We start from the raw sequence: 25,414 nt of genomic DNA, 5'->3' as shown, positions 1-25,414 counted from the left end.
CCTTTGTTGACTAATGGCTCAAAAGGACATTGCTTATCAGCCTATTTCCTTGTTGGACAGCTCTAGGAGTTAGAAAGGTATTTCTGCTACTGGACCAAATTATATTCCTCTGTACCTTTCACTGAGAGTCTCCTGCCTTCCTAGAACAATTTTCTCTCCTCTTGGACAATCTTTCACATTTTGAAAGCGGCCTACTCTATCCCTCAGTATGTTTGTCCATAAACTGAATTGTTCCCAGTTCCCTAGACTGTTACTCACAACATGTGGTTTCCAGACCAATTACACACTGGTAATTATTAGTAGTATTCTAGGTATTGTCTGGAGAGTTTTTGGAATGTGTCAGGCATCACTTCATGTACATTCACTTAATGAGTATTCCCATGGTCTTAGGTCTCCCATTTCAGAGATGAGCAAAAGATATGCTGCTTGTCCAAATTTCACAGCTAGCACCGGAGGAAGATGTGAGTAAAACCCAGGCCCCTAAATCTAGCTCTTAAAACCCTGAGCTTGAAACTAGTTGCCACACAGCTCTCTTGGTTGTTTACCTGTTTATCATAGTGCCCCTAAGTGGCAGCATGTCACCATATGTGGTCTGACTGTTGCAGGGTATAGCTGGCCTTTGACTTCATTTAATGATGTTCAAATATCATTAATATTTCTAAACAGCCAAATCACCATGTTGCAAAGCAAATCACTCAGTATATGTATATTTATACACACATACTTAAGATTTGCATGCAATTTCAGAATTTCTATTCTACGTATCTAGAATTCCAGATCACCGAGTCCTCTTTGAACCTTGATGATATTATTCAGTAAACTAATTATATTTCCAAATTGTGCATCAAGTAAAATTAGAAGATAACATCTTCCATGATGACTTAATAGAATTCCTTAATAAGAACAATTTATCAGAAAGAAAGAAAAAAAAGTAAGTCATCAGAAGCACCCATTTATTGAGGATGACTGTACAAAGAGCTACTAATCTGAGTAGTACACTAAACGGTCTCCTTCTACTAATTTTTAATACTCACCTTGATTTTTCCTATGTGTTCCTAACCTTAGGCTTAAAAATCAGGTATTGGTCTGAGACGATTGGGTTTTCGAAATATACAATTGTCATCTGCAAACAGGGACGATTTGACTCCCTCTTTTCCTAATTGAATACCCTTTATTTCTTTCTCCTGCCTGATAGCCCTGGCCAGAACTTCCAACACTATGTTGAATAGGAGTGGTGAGAGAGGGCATCCCTGTCTTGTGCCAGTTTTCAAAGGGAATGCTTTCAGTTTTTGCCCATTCAGTATGATATTGGCTGTGGGTTTGTCATAAATAGCTCTTATTATTTTGAGATACATCCCATCAATACCTAATTTATTGAGAGTTTTTAAAACAAAGGGTTGTTGAATTGTGTCAAAGGGCTTTTCTGCATCTATTGAGATAGTCATGTGGTTTTTGTCTTTGGTTCTGTTTATATGCTGGATTACGTTTATTGATTTGCATATGTTGAACCAGCCTTGCATCCCAGGGATGAAGCCCACTTGATCATGGTGTATAAGCTTTTTGATGTGCTGCTGGATTCGGTTTGCCAGCATTTTATTGAGGATTTTTGCATCGATGTTCATCAGGGATAGTGGTCTAAAATTCTCTTTTTTTTGCTGTGTCTCTGCCAGGCTTTGGTATCAGGATGATGCTGGCCTCATAAAATGAGTTAGGGAGGATTCCCTCTTTTTCTGTTGATTGGAATAATTTCAGAAGGAATGGGACCAGCTCCTCCTTGTACCTCTGGTAGAATTCGGCTGTGAATCCGTCTGGTCCTGGACTTTTTTCGGTAAGCAACTTCAGCAAAGTCTCAGGATACAAAATCAACGTGCAAAAATCACAAGCATTCTTATACACCAATAACAGACAAACAGAGAGCCAAATCATGAGTGAACTCCCATTCACAATTGCTTCAAAGAGAATAAAATACCTAGGAATCCAACTTACAAGGGATGTGAAGGACCTCTTCAAGGAGAACTAGAAACCACTGCTCAACGAAATAAAAGAGGACACAAACAAATGGAAGAACATTCCATGCTCATGGATAGGAAGAATCAATACCATGAAAATGGCCATACTGCTCAAGGTAATTTATAGATTCAATGCCATCCCCATAAAGCTACCAATGACTTTCTTCACAGAATTGGAAAAAACTACTTTAAAGTTCATATGGAACCAAAAAAGAGCCCGCATTGCCAAGTCAATCCTAAGTCAAAAGAACAAAGCTGGAGGCATCATGCTACCTGACTTCAAACTATACTACAAGGCTACAGTAACCAAAACAGCATGGTACTGGTACCAAAACAGAGATATAGACCAATGGAACAGAACAGAGCCCTCAGAAATAATACCACACATTTACAACCATCTGATCTTTGACAAACCTGACAAAAACAAGAAATGGGGAAAAGATTCCCTATTTAATAAACGGTGCTGGGAAAACCTGCTAGCCATATGTAGACAGCTGAAACTGGATCCCTTCCTTACAACTTATACAAAAATCAATTCAAGATGGATCAAAGACTTAAATGTCAGACCTAAAACCATAAAAACCCTAGAAGAAAACCTAGGCAATACCATTTAGGACATAGGCATGGGCAAGGACTTCATGTCTAAAACACCAAAAGCAATGGCAACAAAAGCCAAAATTGACAAATGGGATCTAATTAAACTAAAGAACTTCTGCACAGCAACAGAAACTATCATCAGAGTGAACAGACAACCTACAGAATGGGAGAAAATTTTTGCAATCTACTTATCTGACAAAGGGCTAATATCCAGAATCTACAAAGAACTCAAACAAATTTACAAGAAAAAAAAAAACCTCATCAAAAAGTAGGCAAAGGATATAAACAGACACTTCTCAAAAGAAGACATTTATGCAGCCAACAGACACATGAAAAAATGCTCATCATCACTGGCCATCAGAGAAATGCAAATCAAAACCACAATGAGATACCATCTCACACTAGTTAGAATGGTGATCATTAAAAAGTCAGGAAACAACAGGTACTGGAGAGGATGTGGAGAAACAGGAACACTTTTACATTGTTGGTGGGACTGTAAACTAGTTCAACCATTGTGGAAGACAGTGTGGCTATTCCTCAAGGATCTAGAACTAGAAATACCATTTGACCCAGGCATCCCATTACTGGGTATATACCCAAAGGACTATAAATCATGCTGCTATAAAGACACATGCACACGTATGTTTATTGCGGCACTATTCACAATTGCAAAGACTTGGAACCAACCCAAATGTCCAACAATGATAGACTGGATTAAGAAAATGTGGCACATATACACCATGGAATACTATGCAGCCATAAAAAAGGATGAGTTCATGTCCTTTGTAGGGACATGGATGAAGCTATGGTTTCTAGAAACCATCATTGTCAGCAAACTATCGCAAGGACAAAAAACCAAACACTGCATGTTCTCACTCATAGGTGGGAATTGAACAATGAGAAAACTTGGAGACAGGGTGGGGAACATCACACACCGCGGCCTGTCATGTGGTGGGGGGAGGTGGGAGGGATAGCATTAGGGGATATACCTAATGTAAATGACGAGTTAATGGGTGCAGCACACCAACATGGCACATGTATACATATGTAACAAACCTGCACATTGTGCACATGTACCCTAGAACTTAAAGTACAAAAAAAAAATCAGGTATTGGTCAAGATCTCAGTAAAGAGACAAATTCAAATCAGATAAATTAAGTGAAGAGACTTTAATGAGGAAAAAAGTCGGAGGTGTAAGCAGGCTGGAAGAACCAACAAAAGAAGTTGGTAAACCCAGGAAATAGCCACTGTGGGGTGCTATTGTGACCCCTGGACTGGAAGAATTGGGGTAGGGGTGGAAGAAGGGGTTGTGATAGAAATAGAATTATTGTAACTGGTAAGAGCTGGAACCATGAAAGAGAGGTTGCCTGTTGGGAGCTGTAGTTAGGGAGATATTCAGCCATTGCCAGAAATGTGATGCAGAAGCAGAAGGGAATAGGGAATAACCAAATAACCATTTCATGCTGCTCTTCTTCTGCCCTCCAATAGCGTGACAGCACCTCCCACTGGTGAAACTCAGACTGAAGTCAGTTGCTCAGGGAGCCAGAATAATGCAGCTTTCTGGGGTAAGGAGTAGGAAAGAAAACCCTGGAGATCCAAAAGATAGCAGATGGAGTGAAGTTGGGGCACCAAACAGAAAACTAAGCCTAATGGTCAATAGGTTTCCCTGCTCATTTCTTTTCCACACTGGTAAAAGTTATTTTTAACTTGATATTGAATAGCATACTCTTCCATTACCTTATAAAAAGCAGGGCCTCACCCTACAGGATGGATGGTCTTCCACATCGGCCAATAATTTTACATTTGAGAAAAACAGAGCCCATGGTTAGGACCCACAGTCAACTGCCAGTTGCATTAAAACTCACGAGATGGCCAGGTGCTGTGGCTCACGCCTGTAATCCCAGCACTTCAGGAGGCCAAGGCGGGCAGATCACGAGGTCAGGAGTTCAAGACCAGTCTGACCAATATGGTGAAACCCCATCTCTACTAAAAATACAAAAATATTAGCTGGGTGTGGTGACGCACACCTGTGGTCCCAGCTACTCGAGAAGGTGAGGCAGGAGAATCGCTTGAACCCAGGATGCAGATATTGCAGTGAGCTGAGATCGTGCCACTGCACTCCAGCCTGGGCAACAGGACGAGACTCCATCTCAAAAAAAAAAACAAAAAAAAAAACAAGAAACTCACAAGATAATTTTATAATCAAAGCATTAAATGCAATTTTTCTACTTTCCTGAAATCTGGGCTTTGCTAAGTCTTTCCAAGGTGTGCTACTATCCAAGGGAATAACAAAGACTTGGTAGCCATTCCATCATTATTAGGATTTTCCCAGCATGCTTGGTTTTCATATTTGGCTGTTTTACTAGTTTCAATGTCATGGCAAGGTACTTTAATCTCCTGAGTTTAATTAATAAAACAGAAAAGATTTGAATAGATAATATTATACATTTTGATAACTCAAGAAATGTCCATCTGAATTACCTTCAAAAGATGATAATTTTGGACTGGGATTTCACTAACCCTTTGTTACAGATATTCATTGGACTGAGCTTTAAATTAAGAAAAAATGGGACCTTCTCAAAAACATAATGTTTGTTATTGCCTCAGTATGTCCCCTCTAAAATTCAGATGCTGAAACTTAATGGCCATTGTGATAGTATTAAGAGGTAGAACCTTTAAGAGCTGATTAGGTTATGAGGGCTCCTCTCTCAAAGATGAGATTAAGGCCTTTATAAAAGAGGCTTCATACAGGGTTTGAGCCCACATCCCACCATGCCAGGACAAAGTGTTCCCTCCTCTAGAGGAACCATCTTGGAAGCAGAGAGCCACCCTCACAGACAACGAAACCTGCCGGCCCCTTGAACATCTCAGTATTCAGAACTGTGAGAAAATAAATTCCTGTTCTTTAGAAATTATCATCTCATGTATTCTGCTGTAGCAGTACAAATGGACTAAGATAACCAAGAAGTAAAAATTAAGTATTTAAGACATATTTTTTCTAGAAAATTCTCAAAATAAAAATAAGGAAAAAACTACAGAATCATTGAGCCATGTCTTGAAAACACATGCACACATTAACAAATGGAATATATTCAATTATTTTATTTCTATATTCTAGATTCAATCATATTCAGTGTGTCTTCTGCGTATGTGTGTGTGTTTTAAATCTGAAGTCAGAACTAGAACAAAGTATGTTTCTTGAAAATGGATTCCTTGTTTTCTATATTTATTTATCTTGATACAATGCTTCTTTGAATTAACTATGTAACAGTTATAAGGTGCTTTATTGCTGCTTAGCTAATCCTCCTGGATTGATATTTAAAAGGATTTAAAATTTTTTTCAGATATAAAGAGTTTCATGATCATCCTTCCCTAAGACAATCTCAAGAGAATGCTGCCCTCTCCCCCTCCTCTATCTGCCCATAGGAATTTTTCTGTTAAAAGAGTGATCAATATCTGAGAGATCGTCTGTTATGGTCGGTCACTGCTTATGTTTCACACCTGCCTGGTTAATTGGTAGGCAAACAGTGTTTCATTCAGTCCCTAGCGTTCATGCAAAACCGTCTGTATTTAGATAAACTTTCAGTCACTTAGCAAACCTCCAAAATAAAGATTATTTATTATTTCTTATTGATATAAATTGGAATTACAACGATCAGATTTCTTACTTTGTGATCAGATTATCTTTGCAACTAGTAAATTGCAAGGTGTCAAAGTTCTTGACTGCAAAATGCACTCAAAGCAATTTTCTCTTGAAGCAAATCACTCCACCTTTAGAAAATTCATACCAAATTCAGAAAATCTTTGGCTGACAGTCTGGTATCAAGCTCTTCTGTAAGTATCCTATTATGGTCGGTAAGTGTAAAAATTGATATTTTCACATAGATTTCAACTATAATTCTGTAGAGCTAACCATAGATGCCTAATGCCAATGAATAAACAATGTTACTACTTTACTTGGAATATTACTGGTTAGAAACAACGATTTAATTCTAATTGTAGATATCAATAATAATTGGAACATTGTCAAGAAATGTGGCCACGTATTTGTGGGTATATACTGGATTTCTTGTAATGCTACCTTTTTCAAAAGATCACTCCGTTGAATGACGAGAGTAAAGTTTCTTGAATTTTTTCCACCTCAAGTCCCTCTGCTGTAAAATGGTGAGGCTGGGTTAATTTCTCTTTTTAATTTAATTTCTTAAATTGACACATAATAATTGTATATATTCATGGAGTACATAGTGATGTTTCGATCCATATAACATATAGTGATCAGATCACGGTAATTATCATATATATATATATATAAAATCAAAAACATTTATCATTTCTTTGTGTGGGGAACATTAAATATCCTCCTTCTAGCTATCTGATACTATATACCATATGATTGTTAACTTTAGTCTTCCTGCAAAGCTATACAATACTAGAATTTATTCCTCCTATCTAGCTATAATTTTGTATCCTTTAACAAGTCTCTCCCTAACCCTCCCTTCCCCCAACCCTTCCAAAGTGGTTTAATTGCTTTTCTAGCCATAATATACAAACTTTCTGGATATATGGAAACATGGGTAAGCCCTGGGAAGACTGAATTGTCTGGATCCATAGACAAGAACTGGACTGGTTAAAAGGTGTTTGATGGAATAATATGTAACAATCAATTCCTGGAGAAAGTCCAGGTGCCACAGGGAATCACTGGGGACCCATTTGACCTGCTTCCCTTCTTTCTTCAATGTTCTAGCTGTAACAGTCAAGTCATTTTTACAGACAATAAAAACATGACTAAAGTCCAAATAAAATAAATACATCCTTATTTCCCATCACCCATATCAATACTAGCTATGGGAGTCACAAATGTTTGAACCTTTTTTGTCATCAGAATACTTAATAATACTGAAATGATTTTCCAGCCTTAGATATACATTTTTCAGTCATTGATTGCTGGCTTTCAAGGTAAAAGTTGTTTCTGTCCAAACACCACTAGTTTAAATCTTCCCATTTCATGGCGACCTTGAGGTGATCAGCATACATTTCAAATGCCCTTATGAAAGAAGCTCTGAGTATGCATAACTATATTATTCAGGAATCTTCTCATTCCTTTTGTTTAACATTCTTTGAAGCCAACATAATCTTTTGTATAACTGCCTTATGTACCCTTAACAAGATAATATACATGCATCCACATATAAGCCTACAAATCCTAAGATATGATTAATTAAAATAAAATAGAAAATAGAGGTCAGAATAGCTTCAAAAGAGGGCAAGGGATGACTTAGTCAAAGAAAGCTTTTAAAATTTTAAGAACTTTGGTGCACGGTACAAGGCATTTTCTATGCCTATAAAAAGGTCAACGACCTAGAAGAAAAAATAAATGAAAAAAAAATCTAACCAGTGAAAAGAAGGGAAAAAAGCTTAAATCAAGCATAAGGCAGAATGTAGAAAATATAGTAATGAAGATTTAAATTTTATTTACAGACCTGCTGTCCATATGCCACCCAAATATTCCAGTATAATCTATCTAAATATCTAATTACTATGAATCTAAATTTCTAAATACGACACAACTTCAAAGAGCGATAAATGCTTGTTTAGAACATGGTCTAAATAGTACGAGCCATGTAATTCCTCAAGAAAATTTGACACAAATTCCAGCTCCCTTGGATAAGTGTTTGAGTATTTCTGTACCTAAGTTTTTCTTATGAAATAGTAACAGTTTATGTTACCTGTTTTATGGGTCTTAGGAAAAAATACATCCTGCCATCTTTTGAAGGCTTTAAAAAAAGAGGTTTCTTTTTTAGGTATTGTTTGAAATGAGCCAATAAAGAGTATATTCCTGAGTCTAATAAATGCTTCGGTGTGCTAATGCCCTGCTAGATGCCTGGAGGCTTGGCACCTTTACGACAAGTATTTTAGCCACTGACCCTGAATGCTGTGGATGGAAACGCTACAGTAAGTTGTTGGCAATTTGCACTCCATCGACTGTTAAATCATTTGCTCACTCTTGTCAAAATATTTACTGAATCTCCACTCTGTAAAGCCCTAGGGATACACAGGTAGGATAAAGAACTTCACAATGTAGAAAGCTCTAAAGAGCTGCTTAAAATAATTGGAGAGAGTGGTCTTCTAAGATGACCTTACGAGAGCACGTCGCTGACTCTCCTTCCCTCTGAATTCCCTGCCGACAAAGTCAACAACCAAAGAGCAAAGAGGCAGTGACTGAAGGTCATGTGCAAGGCCAGTCATGCTCCATCTCATCACAAAAAAAGCAGAGTGGGTGCCTTGCATCGTCTTGGGGCCAGGTGAAATAACCAGTGGCCACTTTCTGAGGAGATGCTCTTCTTGTGGCCTGGGGTGAGGACAAAGGATTTTGTGGCCCCTTGGGTCAGGAAATGGGGCAAAGACCTGAACCCAATGGTTGCTGTCCATAAGCCATAAAGAGGCATGTCATTCAGCAAAGCTAGGGGGTACTTGGCCAGGAACTGCAGTCGTCTGAATCCTGACGCACCCTAGACATTGTGGCTAAGAGACAACTGTGGCTTGCATTCACAGATACCTGAGAACTTCACTTTCTTATTGGGTTGTAAGAGCCATGTAAGAGTATGTTAGAGATGGTATATGTTTCCCTTTTTCTGATATATCTTGTAACTGTTTTCTCCCAGCCTGTAACTTGTCTTTACCTTTGTCTGCTTTGTCTTTTGCCCATTAGAAGTTTAACAGTGTTAAGCAGATAACCTACCAGTGTTTTACTTTGCTTCTGGGTTTTGCGCTATGTCTAAAAATGTTTTCTCCCACTCTACAGTTATAAAAAGTATATTATGTATATTCTAGCAATTTTGGTTTTCCCTCAATATTTAGGTATGTATATAATATGGAAATTATTTGCTTATATGGTGTGAAGTAGGTTGCCAAAATTACTTTTATATACGGATATTCATTGTTCCAATATCTTTCCTGGAAACACCATTTCACTATTAATTGGAAATGTCATTTATATCAGATGCTTAACTAGCAAAAATAAACATTTATGAAATTATCTACAAATATATAAGATAGAACACACAAAATAAAAATGAAATTCATATATGAAGATATAAATTTTAAAAGTTCTACAAATAATAAAATAAACTATAAGTATATAAAATTCATAAAATAGACTTTTTTTATGTTTCAGGGAGTGATTACCTTATAATGGCATAGTCTGTTTGGACATATATTCTCAGTATCATTTATTGGCAATTTATTTCCCTCTACTTGTCAATCTTTAGAGGCTGCAGTGATATGTATGTGGCCTACTAAGTTTTCAAGGATTTCCCCTCATATCTAATTAGCTACATAATTGGTAATTTTACCTAATACTTCCTTGCTCACTGTCTTGAAGGTTCCCAGAGCCCCAGTAAAAGTGGTATTTTTATATTGAATAGGGAATTTTTCTTTGCCACTCTGGTGCACATTTTTGATAGCCATCTCAGCCCAAAAATGTTCATATAAGTACAAATAATGGTAGAAATAAACACCATACCAGAGAGAACAAATAGATGGTAAAAACAGTAAGATGTCAGTCTACTGTACTGGATGACTAGTTATTTGAGAAATAGTGATTCCACTACTCAGTACTGTAATGGATTTGTGTTCATATATTTGTGTATAGTTTAATAAAACCATTTCTAAAACAATAGTGCTACAATGAAATAGCATTTCATGCATCCATTCTAAATGAGTTATGCTTGTTTGAACACTTTCTAATCTCTTCTACTCCATTGATACAGTTGTCTATTCCTGTACTATTAGGTAATATTTTAGTAAATAGTAGCTTTAGAATATTCTCCTTCTAGCCCAAATTCCCTCTAATCTTGAGATGACTCTAAGTTGGTTTCCTGATTTCCACTCTGAGGAAAATATCTGAGGTTGTCTCAGTAATGGAACGTTTTTATCCATTTTCCTCTTTGAAAATGTAACTCCAGCCTGCATGGTTCTGATAGGCTTATTTTACTCCTGGCTACAGGGGAAGGCGTGCATTCCAGGCCTGGCTGAACAGATCATTAAAATCCATGGTTACGGACCAGGCTCGGTGGCTCATGCCTGTAATCCCGGCACTTTAGGAGGCCAAGGTGGGTGGATCACTTGAGGTTAGGAGTTTGAGACCAGCCTGGCCAATATGGTGAAAGCTCATCTCTACTAAAAATACAAAAATTAGCTGGGTGTGGTGGCACACGCCTGTGATCTCAGCTACTTGGGAGGCTGAAGCAGGAGAATCACTTGAAACCGGGAGGTGGAGGTTGCAGTGAGCAAAGATCGTACCCCTGCACTCCAGCCTGGGCAACAGAGTGAGACTCTGTTTCAGAAAATAATAAATAAATAAATAAATAAAATTCCATGGCTACGGTGGCTAGGTCAAGTGTTGGCACATATTCTATGTTGGTCTAATGAAAGCTACATCAGGGTTTTCACTGGAACAGGTGGAATCAGGGATCCTTCCTGGATTTGTAGTTAAAAGTATGTAAGCCTAGAGCAAAGGGTGGCAATACATGGAGAAAAAATAAATAGACACCAAAACCTATAAAATGAGGAGAGACAGAGAAGAGAGAAAAAAAAGAGGAAAAGAGAAAAAAGAGAGTTTGGTGTTAACAGATTTTTTAAATTAACAATCTCTTCCCACATAGTCACAACATAAAAGGATAAACCTGAAGTGTTTGTTGTCTTGTTTTTTTTTTCTTGAACACAACTTAAGAAGTCCAGATTTTCTGAAGCAGAAATAGTCATTGCTCAAAATAATTAATTTATGTAAACATATGTTCAATATTCTTTTTTTTTTTTTTTTTGACAGGGTCTCACTCTGTCACCCAGACTGGAGTTCGGTGGCGCGATCTCAGTGCAACCTCTGCCTTCCAGGTTAAAGTGATTCTTGATTCTTGTGCCTCAGCCTCTCAAGTAGCAGGGCTAATTAACCATGCCTGGCTAACTTTTTTGTGTTTTTAGTAGAGACAGGTTTCGTCATGGCCAGGCTGGTCTCGAACTCCTGGCCTCAACTGATCCACCTGCCTCAGCCTCCCAAAGTGCTGGGATTACAGGCGTGAGCCACTGTGCCTGGTCATATTCAATATCCTTAATGATGGAACTTCCAAGAGAAGTAGAGAACACACTGTTATTTTCCTTGTGTGGAGAGGAATTTTAGTGTATCTCATCTAGGAATCACCTGGCATCATTACAATCTATCCTTAAAGATGCCTGAAATCTTAGGAGAGTTCATCTTTTCATCTGGGGTCAGTCAAAACCACAATAGTGATATTTCAAATGGTGCTTAGTCACAACTTCCTTGAAAAAATGATCTCTGTCTTTGCAGTATATCTGGTAACGGAAATGGGATATTAACGTCTAAACCCACTCTCCTGTCAATGTCTCATAAGACTGTAACTAAGGGATCAGCCAGATTGGGTTAAAGTCTGGAGGCTTGATTGGGGAATAATCCACTTCCAAGCTCATTCAGGTTGACGGTAGAATTCAATTTCTTGAGCTCTGTGACTGAGGGCTCTGGCTTTTTGTTGGGGCCTTGGATACCAGAGGCTGCTTGCAGTTCCGGAGGCTGTCATATTTCCTTGATATGTAGGCTTCTCCAAAAGAGCCACTAACTTCAGCAAGTCTTCAAGAACAGTCTATTGCCTCCAGAAGGGCCCAGTTCCTTTTTTAAGGGCTTTCACCTAATTAAGTCAGGCTCACCCAGGATAATCTCCCTTTTGATTTACTCAAAATCAACTGACATGACACTTTAATTATAGCTGCAAAATCCCTTCACCTTTGTCATATTCTACCGGGTAGAAGCAAACCTTAGGTTTTGCCCACACTTAATGGGCAGGGCATGGACACCAACGGATGGGATTCTGAAGGCCATCTCAGAATTAGGTCTACCACATCTACACTCCATAGTCTTGTACAGTAAGGATAAATTGTCTTAATGCTTATAGTGTATCTACACAAGAACTAGGCAGTGTTGTGAAGAGTGACACATTCATGCCACTGGGGAGCTTGTAAGTATCACACCAAATTCCTTCTCCAATGGATTAACCTTGTAGCTCTATTCATTTCAATAGATATTCTACTGCAGGCATGTTATACACCATGGACTACAGCTATACAGCATGGTCCCAGCACAATTCCTACAAACTTTTGTTAGAATGTTTGTATGTGTGTGATTGTCTACGTGCATGAGAGGCTGTGTGGTATAGTGAAAAGTGTGTACACTTTGGAGTCCTGAGAGTGTCAGCTTGCATGTGCCCTCCATTAACCAGGCCCTGCCTTAGAAAATTTTAGCTTTATTATCCACGATGTGGGGAAGCCTATTCCTCAACTCCTCCAGTATTAGGGTAAGACAGTGTCATGGATGGAGGTACTGGTTAAGCTCATGAGCTCTAGAGGAGACCTCTATCTAGCTCTTATTAGCTGTGTGACCATAAGCAAATTGCATAACCTCTCTAGACTTCAGTGTTAACTCCTATTTCATAACCTTAGTAATTGTTTCTAGTTCACGGTGTTGAAATACCAGTAGAATGTTTGGTATACAGATATGAATTGCTCAATAAACATTAGTTCTCATATTTCTAATATGTGTAAAATGCCTGGGACAGTAATTGATAGAATAAATACTAATTGGACATCTAATCTGTTTTAGGCACTCCCTTAGGAGTAGCAATAAAGCAGTGAATAAGACAGAAGAAATTTCCACCCTCTTGACCTTACATGCTTACATATCTTTCATATATTATTATTATTTTATGATTTTGTCCTCTGCTATATGATAACACCATTAAGGACAGAGACCAATCTGACTTATGTGAAACCTTAGGATCTGGTATGTTGGACACATATAGGCATTCAATAAAACTTTATAGGAATGAAAAATAAAAAATAGAACAGAGACCGTATTTTCAAAAATGTTTAAATTCCAGAAGGAAGTGCAGACACAAAACTAACTAGAATGAATACATGAATTAACCAACTGTCAACTATCTTCCTGCCTCATTCAAAAAAATGGTACACACAATCACACCTATTGTGCTTTTTTGCTTAAGAATGGGAAATCAAACTCATAAGAATGAGAAAGAAAGAAACATGTTAGTCACAGAAACTAATCCTCACTGTGATTGAAAATCATCTTGTAGTTTTCTGGTAATAAGGGCAAAAAACAAACACATAATGGGTTGACTAATTCATGTTTTTTTAATAGAAAGAAATGTACTATTCTTCCAGAGAAAGAGCTTATCCCTTGGTGCTACCCATGACTCTTCTAGATGTCATACTGATAGAATTCAAAAATTTTGAGCATCTATGTACAAGTAGACATCATTTAAAGCACTCCTGGGGGCAATTCACAGTGTTTCATTATCAGATGGATGAAACCAATTGTCCATGAGGAGGAGGAGGAGGAGGATGAGGAGGAGGAGGAGGAAGAGGAGAAGGATACACTCGTCATTTACTGAACATTAACTCTATGCCAACTCCCTTTTATGTCCGTTATAAATTTTCTTATTTAATACTTGCAACAAACCTATGAGGCAGTTACTTTTATTACTTGCATTTACAACCCAGAAAACAGGCATGGGAGATTAGGGAACTTCCTAAGGGTCACTCAGATAGAGTGTGACATAAGCAAATTCACTCCACAGCAGGGGCTTTACTTTGCAATTCGCAGTTCCCCTCTTTATGGAAGATCTTCAGAAAGCATGAGCAAAAGCAGCTTCCACATTGCAAATCAAAAGAAGCCCACTCTCCCCAAACTTAAGCCCTCAGGCCCCTCATTAATAATTTTTCCCAAGATTTTTCTAGAATCCTTTCTTGTTCTACAGTTATTAGAAAGTTAAATTATACTTTACAGTTAATAGAAAGTTCACGGTTAAAACTTTACAGTTACTGGAAAGTTAAATTCCCAGACATTTTCAATTTTGCTCTTGATTTTGAAGTCTGAGGCTTTCCTCTTAATCAACTAACATGGCTAAGAGAGGACCGGATGCTGCAAGGAATTTGCTTCCTGTTGTAACTGTCCTCCCTAAAGCTAATTGTATTAATAAACCTTCCTGGTCTAATTAGAACTTTGGTGAACCTCTGCTGATAGTGCGGATCATCCTGAATCTGTTTGCTCTGGGAAACTGGCTCCAGCCAGGACTGATAAATGGATACCACGTGTGATCAAGAAACCTGCAGATAGCAAAGCCAGAGGGGGTCACACAATCCCACGGGCGCCACTGGCAGAAATCATCCAGGCATGGAGTTCAGTTAAATTTAACTCAGTACAGGAAATGTTTTCTACTCCAGCTGGATTTCTGCACCTTTGAGCTGTGAATTTAGATGGATGAGCAACAATCTCTCTCCTCCTTGTTTGGCTGGTGACTAGGCCGGACTGATCAAAGGTTTAATGTTGGCAACTTCAAATGCCACTTCTAAGTTTCTGTCGCTTTGATCCTGAAGAAAATAATTTCTTAGAAAAGAAAAAAACATGGGAATGAAAAACACTGGGTTAAAAAATAATACTGCTTCAGACCACAGCACATAATCATTTGGTAAAGCAGTTTCAAGTCCTGAGTTTTAGCATCTGCTAAGGATAGAATTTTCTCCCCCACTCCCAGATTCACATGTTAAAGCAGTAGTAGTTGGAGATAGGGTCTAGAAAGAAGTAATTAAGGTTAAATAAGGTCATAAGGGTGGGGCTCGGATAGAATAGGATAGGATAGGATTGGATTTATGTCCTTACAAAATGAGATGAGACAGCCAGGTGGGAAGAGGTCCTTGGAAAAACTCCAACCAGCCTGCACACTGGGAGGATTGCGCACTGGCATGGAGCCACGGGAGTTGGTGCTGTTTGCAGCGGGGGAAGCCTGGCCCCTCCTATTCCTGGGTGGAACCTGGGATTCAATCTTCAGGCAGGAAGCGCTGTAGCAGGGATTCTGGCCTTGCGGAGCGTCCCTGTTTCCCTCTTTCACCCAATAAACCCGGCCCTCCTCACGCTTCAGATTGTCTGCAAGCCAGATTTTTCGTGGCCATGTGATAAGGACCCCTGTCTTCAGCTGAACTAAGGAAAAATCCCACAACAGAGATATTAGAGAGACCTCCCAGCTCCCACCCCCACCACCACATACAAAGAAGAGGTCATCTGAGCACACAGTGACATGGTGGTTGCCGACAAGCCAAAAGAAGGAATGTTCTGAAACCTACCTTGCCAGCACCCAGATAGTGGACTTCCCAGCCTTCCAAACTGAAATGTTTGTTGTTTAAGCCACCTAATCTACAGCATTTTATTATGGCAGCCCAAGCAGACTAATACAGCATTCAAGCCCTTTCAACTCAAATTTTAAATTTTAGCTAATATTTTGATCTTTATAAGATTCTCACATAAAAACTCAGACCCCAGCGTAATTTTTGCTGACACTAAATTTTCTAGAAAACTTTACACTATTGTGTAGAATGTGTACACATACAGAAACCCAGAGATGTTCCCAATCAGACTTAATATTCAAGTCCCCCAATATTGCACATACCAAATACATGTCTATAATCCCTTACCATGATTCTGAAATCCTGAAACCTCTGAAAACCAAACATCCAGTCACAAATTTAGAGCAAACTCCTTTGGTGGCAAACCTTATTGGGAATAGATGTGAAACAATTTTTGGTATTTAAAAATTGCCTCTGGAGTGAAGTCAAACATTTGATACATTTTGTCCGAAAGAATTCTTTTCCCTCTCCCTCTCCTTCTGCTTCTGTTTCTGCTTCTTTTTCAAAAAAGCAAAAAAGGTTGGTGTTTCCATTCAGGGAAACAGCCTTACAGTGTAACTTGGCTATTCAGATCACTGTCATAATTAAGGCTTGTGTCCAACAGGCAACAGTGAAAATAGCCTCTTGTTAATTTTAGAGGTTTTATTTATTTACATGGAAAACTTCAACATTTGGGATAGTGCCTGAAGCTGACTAATTTTTTGATGCTTCAGTTTTCTTTTACACTTCGTTTGAGGCTTAGAATTAGTTGAAGAAGATGACAATGTAAGTTTGTTAATGTATAATATACTAATACATATTTAATTAATATCTGATTATATATTAATGCATATATAATAATAAAATATAAACCTCTTTAATACGTCAAACTACTAAAGATAAACCATAAGGAAAAACTTTTTAATTTCTCCTTTTTCTTCTTTTTTTTGAGACATGGTCTTGCTCTGTCACCCAGGCTAGAGCGCAAGTGGTGTGATCATAGCTCACTGCTGTCTCCTACTTCTGGGCTCAAGAGAGCCTCCTGCCTCAGCCTCCTGAGTAGCTAGGACTAAAGACACATAGCCACCATGCCAGGCTAATTTTTTAATTTTTAGTAGAGATGGGGTCTTGTTATGTTTCCTATAGGGGCTGGTATCAAACTCCTGGCCTCAAGTGATCCTCCCACCTTGGCCTCCCAAAGTGCTGGGATTACAGGCAAGAACCATGGTACCGGCTCTTCTTTCTTTTGATGAAGAATCAAAATAGGAAATTTCCATCATAATCAGCACTGCTGCAGTTAGGTTGGCCTATTCTTTGGAAGGAAACTTTCACATCAGAACCAGTCTTCCTCCTAACATCTCCCAACTAGGTTCATTAAACATATACCCATGAGACTTGCATTCTCAGCCATACTTGGGGCCCATCCTGTTCCCAGGCAAGGTAACACTGAGATCTGCAGTCTCCTGATGCATCAGCTTAGCCTGCTATTTCCAACCATGCTTTGTTCCCAGTTTTCCTGAAACATTTCAGCCTTAAAACTGACCCGGGAAGAGCATCTGTTCTCCTGACCTCAATCATTATGTACAGATTTTGCATTACCTGAGGCCTCTCCCTGTCCCCTAGGTCTTCGTGATCACTTCTGTCCTCTCTAATTATGTAGATGTTCTTCCATCTTGGACTCAGCTTTGATTTTTTTTGCTAATGTAACTCAAAATCAGGGCACATTTTCCCATTTCCTTCATGGGCTTATCTTCTAGTTTCAGATCTATCTGTAGATTCACACCCAGTCACAGTGTAAATAACCCCTGGCTTTACTCCAGCATTCAGACCCTTAGGCTTCATCAGGCACCATTGTCTCTACCTGGAATATGTTTCCAGCTCTCTCCAATCTGGCCTGCCCTTCTGTTACCCACACTGAATTCTGACTAACACAGGTGCTTACTGCGGCTAAAATGAATCCATGTTCGAATTCTGGCTCTGAAACAGACAACTAGGCAGGTTCAAGTTAATTTATCTGTTAAAGCCCCTGAGAGTTAATTCACCTTTTTAGATCTTTGAGGGTTTATTAATAAACAGGGTAATATAGAGCATCTATCTCAATTAGAAGCTGAAAAGATTAAAGTGACTGTGCAGGGTAGATTTGCAAATATTTTAGTGTTCTTTCTTCCTTTTACTATACAAACTTCATTTAAATATCTTTCTAATAGAAATATGTTGATGTTGGTCAATGGTTTGATATTGTTCTGATCATGCTCCTCAGTAAAAAATGCATTTTATATTATCACTCAGAACACTCATACATGCACGTATACATACGTAACTGAAGTTTTACAAACCATCATTCACCCTTGTTAGTTGGGATACCTCTGACATTTTGTATTGCATGGCGCTTGACTCTATTATGTTCTATTTCCTTCATCTTTTTTTTAAATTGCAGGTCCCAATCCACAAAATTGAATTCATAACCCACAAATAGGTCACAACCTAAAAAACACAATAGACAACAATGCCATGGTATCACATTGGCTACCAATGGCACTGAAATCTATGAGCTCTTGTTCAAAAGGTCTACCAGGAAATTCTTTGTCTTTCCAACATGAGTTATTTCATTCAGTGATTAAAGAGTTAGAGAAGTTTAAAAAAATCTAAGTCCATTGTTCCTACTCTGCAAATTAAAACCAAGTGAGTAAGTACATGTGTCAGCCACTTTGGTGGTTAACACCTAAAATGCTCGAGACTGGCAGGAAGGTGTAGTTGGGTCACTTCTCCCACGAGCCTGTTCCTAGGGCAGAAGAGGGTAAGATACAAGCAAGTAAAGGGATTCATAGATATTGCTTGCGTGCATACAATAAACCTCCTCTCATTCTTTCTGGGGATAATACTGGCCTCTCAGAGGCTTTTAAAAGGCCCTTCTCTTCCAGAAACCTCCAATGGCACCTGAATCACACAACTAATCCACAAACCACAACAGATTCCATATTAACTGCCATGGGATAGCATTCAAACATTTTCCCCTGTATTTCTCATATTTCTGAGAAGTTTTTGTAGGAGATGCCAAGCAGAATGCTAGATGGAGGCCACAGAATCCCCTCACCTCTGACACTACGTTCTCCATCATTTCTCAAAGATGACCTGGACTACCTGGGTCCACAGTCACCAGCTTCCCCGAGAGATGTGAGCTCATTTGAACCAGGTAGAACTTCCTATTCAATCGGCCACAATTCCTCTACATGGCTCTTAAAATGCCTTTGCAGTGAAATCGTCGTTCTCTTGGGATGGGGAATACAAACCAGGAGTGAATAATCCTGTCCCATTTATTGACACTGCACACTTTTTCCCTGTGCTATTTTCTTTTATGTAAACACATCTATAAAAACCCTTACAGTTGGCTGGGCATGGTGGCTCATGCCTATAATCCCAACACTTTGGGAGGCCAAGGTGGGTGGATCACCTGAGGTCAGGAGTTGGAGACCAGCCTGGCCAACATGGCAAAACCACATCTCTACTAAAAATTCAAAAATTAGCTGAGTGTGGTGGCACACACCTGTAGTCCCAGCTACTCGAGAGGCTGAGGCAGGTGAATCGCTTGAACCCGGGAGACAGAGGTTGCAGTGAGCCGAGATTGCACCACTGGATTCCAGCCTGGGCAACAGAGTGAGACTCTGTCACAGAAAAAAAAAAAATGAAAACCCTGACTACCCTTACAGTTGTCCTCAGATTTTTTCTTTTCTTTTTTTATTAGAGAGACTCAAGTCATGGGGGCTGTTGTTGCTGAGAATGTCCTGAATCATTTGGACCCAACCTGGTTGTATCTGTTTTCCTTTGTTTTGAAACCATCCCTATAAACTTTATAAAATTAATCAGGGAAGAAGGTTGTGGGGGAAGAAAATAAACCAAACTTGCCACACATTCAGCACAAATTATTAGGTCAGCTTCCTCTGACCTGCTTCCTCATAGATGTTTGTGTATTGTTCTAGAATCACATAGACCCTGTTACACAAGATATAGTTTCCCTCAACTGCTGTACAGATAACAACTTGAACATTATGAAACATTCAGTTTTTCCTTTAAGATATTCTTTCAGGTCCTGCATACCAGTAAAACTACTGACGCCAGCTGGTCTATAGGGCTCCAAGAGAAGCTGACTTACCAAATAATTCATTTTCCAAAACCTGATGATTTTATCCTCCTTACTCCAACCAATCAAGAATCCCAAATTTCCAGCCCCTCACTCTTCATAATCCCTTTAAAAATCCCAGCCCAGAACTCCTTCAGGGAGATGGATTTGAGGGTTTCCTCTTATCTCCCTGATCTGCACTTGCAATGATTAAACTCTTTCTCTGCTGCAAATGATTTGTTACTGTGCAAATGGGCATACGAACCTGTTGGTCTTACAACAGTTTTACTCAAAGTCTTTTTAAAATATTTCCCTCACCAGGCAACTCCCAGCAAAGCCCCTACCCTCCATTCAAGTTCCAGCTGATGTCTGTATTTTTAACTCACTGAAGTCCACTTGTAATTAGAGAATCAGAATTCAAGGTTTGAATCTCCAAACCCTTAGAAGCCAGGTTTCCTTTTAGATTTTCTGCTTGGGAGAGCAAACAGGACTGTCCATCAGTCTATGCTACAAATCTGAGTATGTCCAGATTTCTATTCTTCATTATTATAAAACCATCTTGATATAATAATCTTTTTCTGGCTGGGCACAGTGGCTCATGCGTGTAATCTCAGCACTTTGGGAGGCTGAGACGGGCAGATCACCTGAGGTCAGCAGTTCGAGACCAGCCCGTCCAACATGGTGAAACCCCATCTCTACCAAAAATACAAGATTACCCAGATGTGGTAGCAGGTGCCTGTAATCCCAGTTACTTGAGAGGCTGAGGTCAGAGAATCCCTTGAGCTCAGGAGGCTGCAGTGAGCTGAGATCACGACACTGCACTCCAGCCTGGGTGACACAACGAGACTCTGTCTCAAAGTAATAATAATAATGGTAATCTTCTTCCATTTTATGTGAGTTTCTCATTCTCATCCAGTTCATATTTCTTTTCTATGTCCTGAAAAACTCAGCCTATATGTATTTTTAAATATATTTTATTGTATATATTTGAGGTTTATGACACGATGTTATGAGATACACAGACAGTAAAATCATTGCTACTTTAAAGCAAATTAACATATCTATCATCTCACATGGTTACTTTGTGAGTCTGTGACAAGAGCAGCTAAAACCTACTTATTTAACAAAGAACCCCAATACCATACAGTTTTACTAACTACAGTCCTCATGTTGTAAATGAGATTTCTAGACTTGCTCATCCTACATATCTGCTGCTCTGTGCCCTTTGACCTGCATCTCCTCACTTTCTGAAGTTTTGAAGCACAAACTGGCAAAGAAAGGCTTAAATTTAAATTTATTTTAGCTGAAACCTCAATGGAAACCTCTGTTTTCCATTCTGAGCTTCAATTTTGTGGTCTGAGCAGGTGCACGCACGTGTGTATCCAAACATACCAATAAGCAAAACCAGTGCGCGTGGTCGGTTTTCTGCGAACAGAGTGCAAATCAAATTGTAACAGAGTTCCTATTCTCTGAAATACCACTGGAAAAGAAATAGAACTTTTTTTTCTTTTAGGATTATGATTGATTTTAGGCCTTGTCCAGAAACTACTGAGAGTTAAAGTAGCACATTTCTCAAGGAGTTGGCCCTTAGTGAAGAGCGATGGCTGTGCTATGTTTCATTTTTCGCCAACCATCCTTCCACGTTTCAGGAAACAAAATCACATTTCATCGTGTCCCTGGCTTTTCCAGGCAGAAATGAAGCAGTGCTTCCCATGTTCCTTTCAACTCAGCTAAAAAGTGGGCTCTGCTGACATATGTGCCAGAAAAGTGTCACCATAAAGCTCAAAGTGAAAGAGGGGTGAGCTTAAGCAGGTTTCCCCATTGCCTGCTGGAAGATACCAGAAAAATGAGAAGGAAGTTTCAAAAACAGCACAGAAGTGCTCTCACATGGAGAACTTTTCTCAAAACTTTTTTTTTTTTCTGAAATTGGATGTAGTGAAGATCTAACATGGAAGCCCATTGCAAAGGAAAATCCAGAAATACAGCCTTAATGAGCGTGGACATTGCTGCTGATGGTGTGGAAAAAATTGTTTTGCACTTAGACCACCATAGCTGGGAATCTCCTCATTGCCTAGGGAGTTTACAGTCACCTAATTTAGAGGCAAAGAATATGAAACTATGTTTTAAGGAAGATAACATGATTTTTTTCTTTTCTTTCTTTTTTCTTTTTTTAAATAGAATCCGTTTGTGGAAGGGTGATAAATATATTTCCCTTTAGAACTTTGCTACTCAGAGTGTGGTCTATAGCAACACCCAGGGCCCAGTTTGAGATACAGAATCTCAGGTGCCCCCTAGACCTGGTGAATCCACACTGGCACATACAGGGATGTGGATGCACTTTATAGTTTTAGAAGCACTGCCATAGATAACATGATTGAGGCAGGAGAATAGGGCCTGGAGGCAGGGAACCTAAGACTGTTTCATGCCAATTTCCTGGAACTAAATTGAAAGGAAAACCCTAACTTTCCACGCCTAAGTTGACCTTTTCTATGCGGCAGATGGGAAGTTGGCTGTCTGCAATAAATCAGACTGATTGCAGGTCCAGTCTTCCTTGGCAACTTTGTAACTTCACCCTAGCCTCTGATTGGTTGCAAAAAGCAGCCAAGGACAGAACGCAGCCCAGAGGATTCATGTATCTTAAGTTAAAAAAAAAAAAAAAACACCTCAGAATGCAGGTCATTGGTTGCAAAAAGCAACCAATCAGATGTTTGCACGGGAGTGTGACCTTTGTAACTTCACTTCAGCCTCTGGTTGGCTGTTTTCTGCAACCAATCAGACCGATTGCAGGCTACTGCTTCAGTTACATGAGGTGAGCACGAAGTGGCCAATGGGAAACTTCTAGGGGGTATTTGAACCCAAGAAGATTCTGTATTTGGGCCCCTGAGCTGCTGCTTGTGGCTCGAGTCCATTCCCACACTGTGGAGTGTACTTTTGTTTTCAATAAATCCCTGCTTTCCTTCTTTGTTCCTTCATTCTTTCTTTGCTCTGCTAGACGTTTTGTCCAATTCTTTGTGCAAAACGCCAAGAACCTGGACAACTTGCAGTCACCACCCTCTACTGTTAACATGATCTTTCTAAGTATTTTGGTGGAAGACTTGCTAAACACATAGTATTTGCTTGCTAAATACGAATGCTAGGCCATCTTTGCTCAATTCATTCTGTAGAAATGATATTGGGGATGACAGAATGCAGCACAGAGGACTCATGTATCTCAAGTTAAAAAACAACAACAACTCAGAATGCAGGTCATGGGAGTTAGTGAAAAGAAAGAGACACTCATTTGGTCTTGTATCAAAATTCATTTCTACTAAAAAGGTGAGGGAATTGCCAAATGAGCCTCTCCATACTAAAAGAGTGCTGCATCATAGAAATAAAAAAAAGTAATTTAGTCTCAACAAAATAATACATGCTTATAGTGTAACCAAACAAATACCCTGTTGCCTTTCAAATGTAAAGATATGTTATCTGAGACCCCTAAAAATAAACATCTGGATTCCCGTCCTATGACTCAAACATGAATCTTCACCACAACATATTTTTCAGTATTGTACACTCTTGCTCTGCTCTGTGTGGCTTATCTCGTAACTCATGGTCCTTGAAGTAAATCCATCACTACACTGTGTGTGGTGGGGGAGGAGGGGTGTGGGAGTGTTTCTGTGTGTGTGTCAGGTTTTTGAGAATAACCTGTAGGCCTACCAAGGCCAATAAGGAATTGTAAAATGGAAGGAGTGAGCCTAATTTCCAGATTGTGTGGGTGACCCCTCTGTTCTTCCAGAGGGCAGTCTTGGTAAAACACAAAGCCTTACTTTAAATCCTTGGTCTCAAGCTCTTGTGCATGTATTTACACTTTCAAATTCAATTCATTTAGCTTGCTCATCTATTTATTGTGTGTATTAAATACAAGACACTCTAGGAAGCTCTGAGCGATGCATAGATGAGTGTGATTAGGACCCTGCCTCATGAAATTTGAAGCCAGGTGCAGAGATTAATGGAAATAGAGCATCTGCCAAATTTAAGGGGCAGAACTAGTCTGTTGTTAATTTGAGTTTCCTCCCAGTCATAGTATAAATTGCTTAATCTTACTTGATTTATTATCCTGAAGGAAAAAATGTCAATCTAGCACAATTAGATGGTATAATGAATGTCTTAGTTTAGCTTCTGAGTATTCTTAAAAGCAGAAGTTTTTGTCTCTCTGAGGACAAATACGAATTTTATTCAAAATATTGATATATAAAAAATTCTTCAGATCCTGGGACATGCTACAAGCATTAGGTAATCAGGGGTTTTCCAATTATTGGCTCCTTCTCACTCAAGAAATTTCCTTGGTCATATCAATCCAGATACCTCATCCCCAGTAAGCTGTTTACGTACCACTCAGCACACAGGATAGGCACATAACAATTTAACCAGTAATTAAGGAAATGATTTTGGTGGAACATTAATATCATAGGACTCACTTCTTTAAGAACCTGTTTTGCTTTAAACATCATTCCTTTATTCATTCATTCAGTGTGTTATGATCTATTGTGTGTCAGGCACTGTTCTAGGAGTACAGGGAAGAACAAAACAGATCAGTCCCTTATGTCTTGGGGCTTATGAAGTAGGTGGGTGGGCAACTGACAATGACATGCAAATAAATTATTCAAAATAAGATCATCTTAAAGAAGGATAAGTGCTGTAAAAAAATAAAACTGGTTAAGTTGTAGATGACAGTTGCGGTGGTTGCAGCTAGCTTATTGGAGTCACTTTGTTTATCTGATAAATATGTATATAGTGTTTGCTCTGTGCCAGAACTATACTAAGTTCTTCACAAATATTAAATCATTTGGTCTTCCAAACGTTCCTGTGAAGGAAATATTTTTATCATTGCCATTTATAAATAGGGAAACTAAGGCACAGAAAGGTCAAATCACATGTGCTGGGTCACTGGGAACTAGGCTCAGATTTGAACCCAGAATCAATAATTCAGAGTCTATGCTACAGCCCCCTCTGCCATCTGGATTGCTGGTAACGCTGACTGGCATGACCATGAAGTCACTGGAACCCAGCCTACTCAATGGCTATTCCCTCCCATAAAAATATCTCCATATACCAGGTGAAGGGCATTTATTTCCAAATGCACATCTCCATTAAAGTATTCTTGACAGCCCACATTGCTGTATCTAATATCAGCTGCACTCAAATTTCATAAGATAAACGTTATACGTTTTTATTGAGGTATAATTCATAGACAGTGAAATCACATACAGACCTTAAATAATTTGCTGAGTTTGACAGATGCATAGACCCATGTAACCCCTATCAATATATAGACCATTTCTAATACCTGAGAAGGGGCCCTTGTTCTCCGTCTGGGTCAACTGTATACGTTTTAGTTGCTTCTGATAGAGATATTTCTGCAGGCATTTTGCATAATGAGTAGCATTTTGATTCCTTATAAATGTTTCAC

The 25,414-nt window shown here is 39.0% G+C and overlaps 1 protein-coding gene and 1 long non-coding RNA gene across 3 annotated transcripts in view; both read right to left on the bottom strand.

The window, feature by feature from the left end:
- The window catches only part of PLCB1 (phospholipase C beta 1), a 752,635-nt gene that overhangs the window by 437,145 nt on the left and 290,076 nt on the right, over positions 1-25,414 (bottom strand). The gene's annotated exons all lie outside the window — the stretch shown is intronic.
- LOC124900459 (uncharacterized) overlaps positions 1-25,414 on the bottom strand; it is a 112,238-nt gene that overhangs the window by 64,750 nt on the left and 22,074 nt on the right. Inside the window, exon 2 of the long non-coding RNA XR_007067518.1 lies at positions 1-25,414. This exon is cut by the window's left edge and continues 64,750 nt beyond it. This is a non-coding gene — a long non-coding RNA (uncharacterized LOC124900459).

Source organism: Homo sapiens, chromosome 20, assembly GCF_000001405.40.
Source record: "Homo sapiens chromosome 20, GRCh38.p14 Primary Assembly".
In the NCBI taxonomy this organism is placed as follows: Eukaryota; Metazoa; Chordata; class Mammalia; order Primates; family Hominidae; genus Homo; species Homo sapiens.
This window is presented reverse-complemented; position numbering and strand designations above follow the sequence as displayed.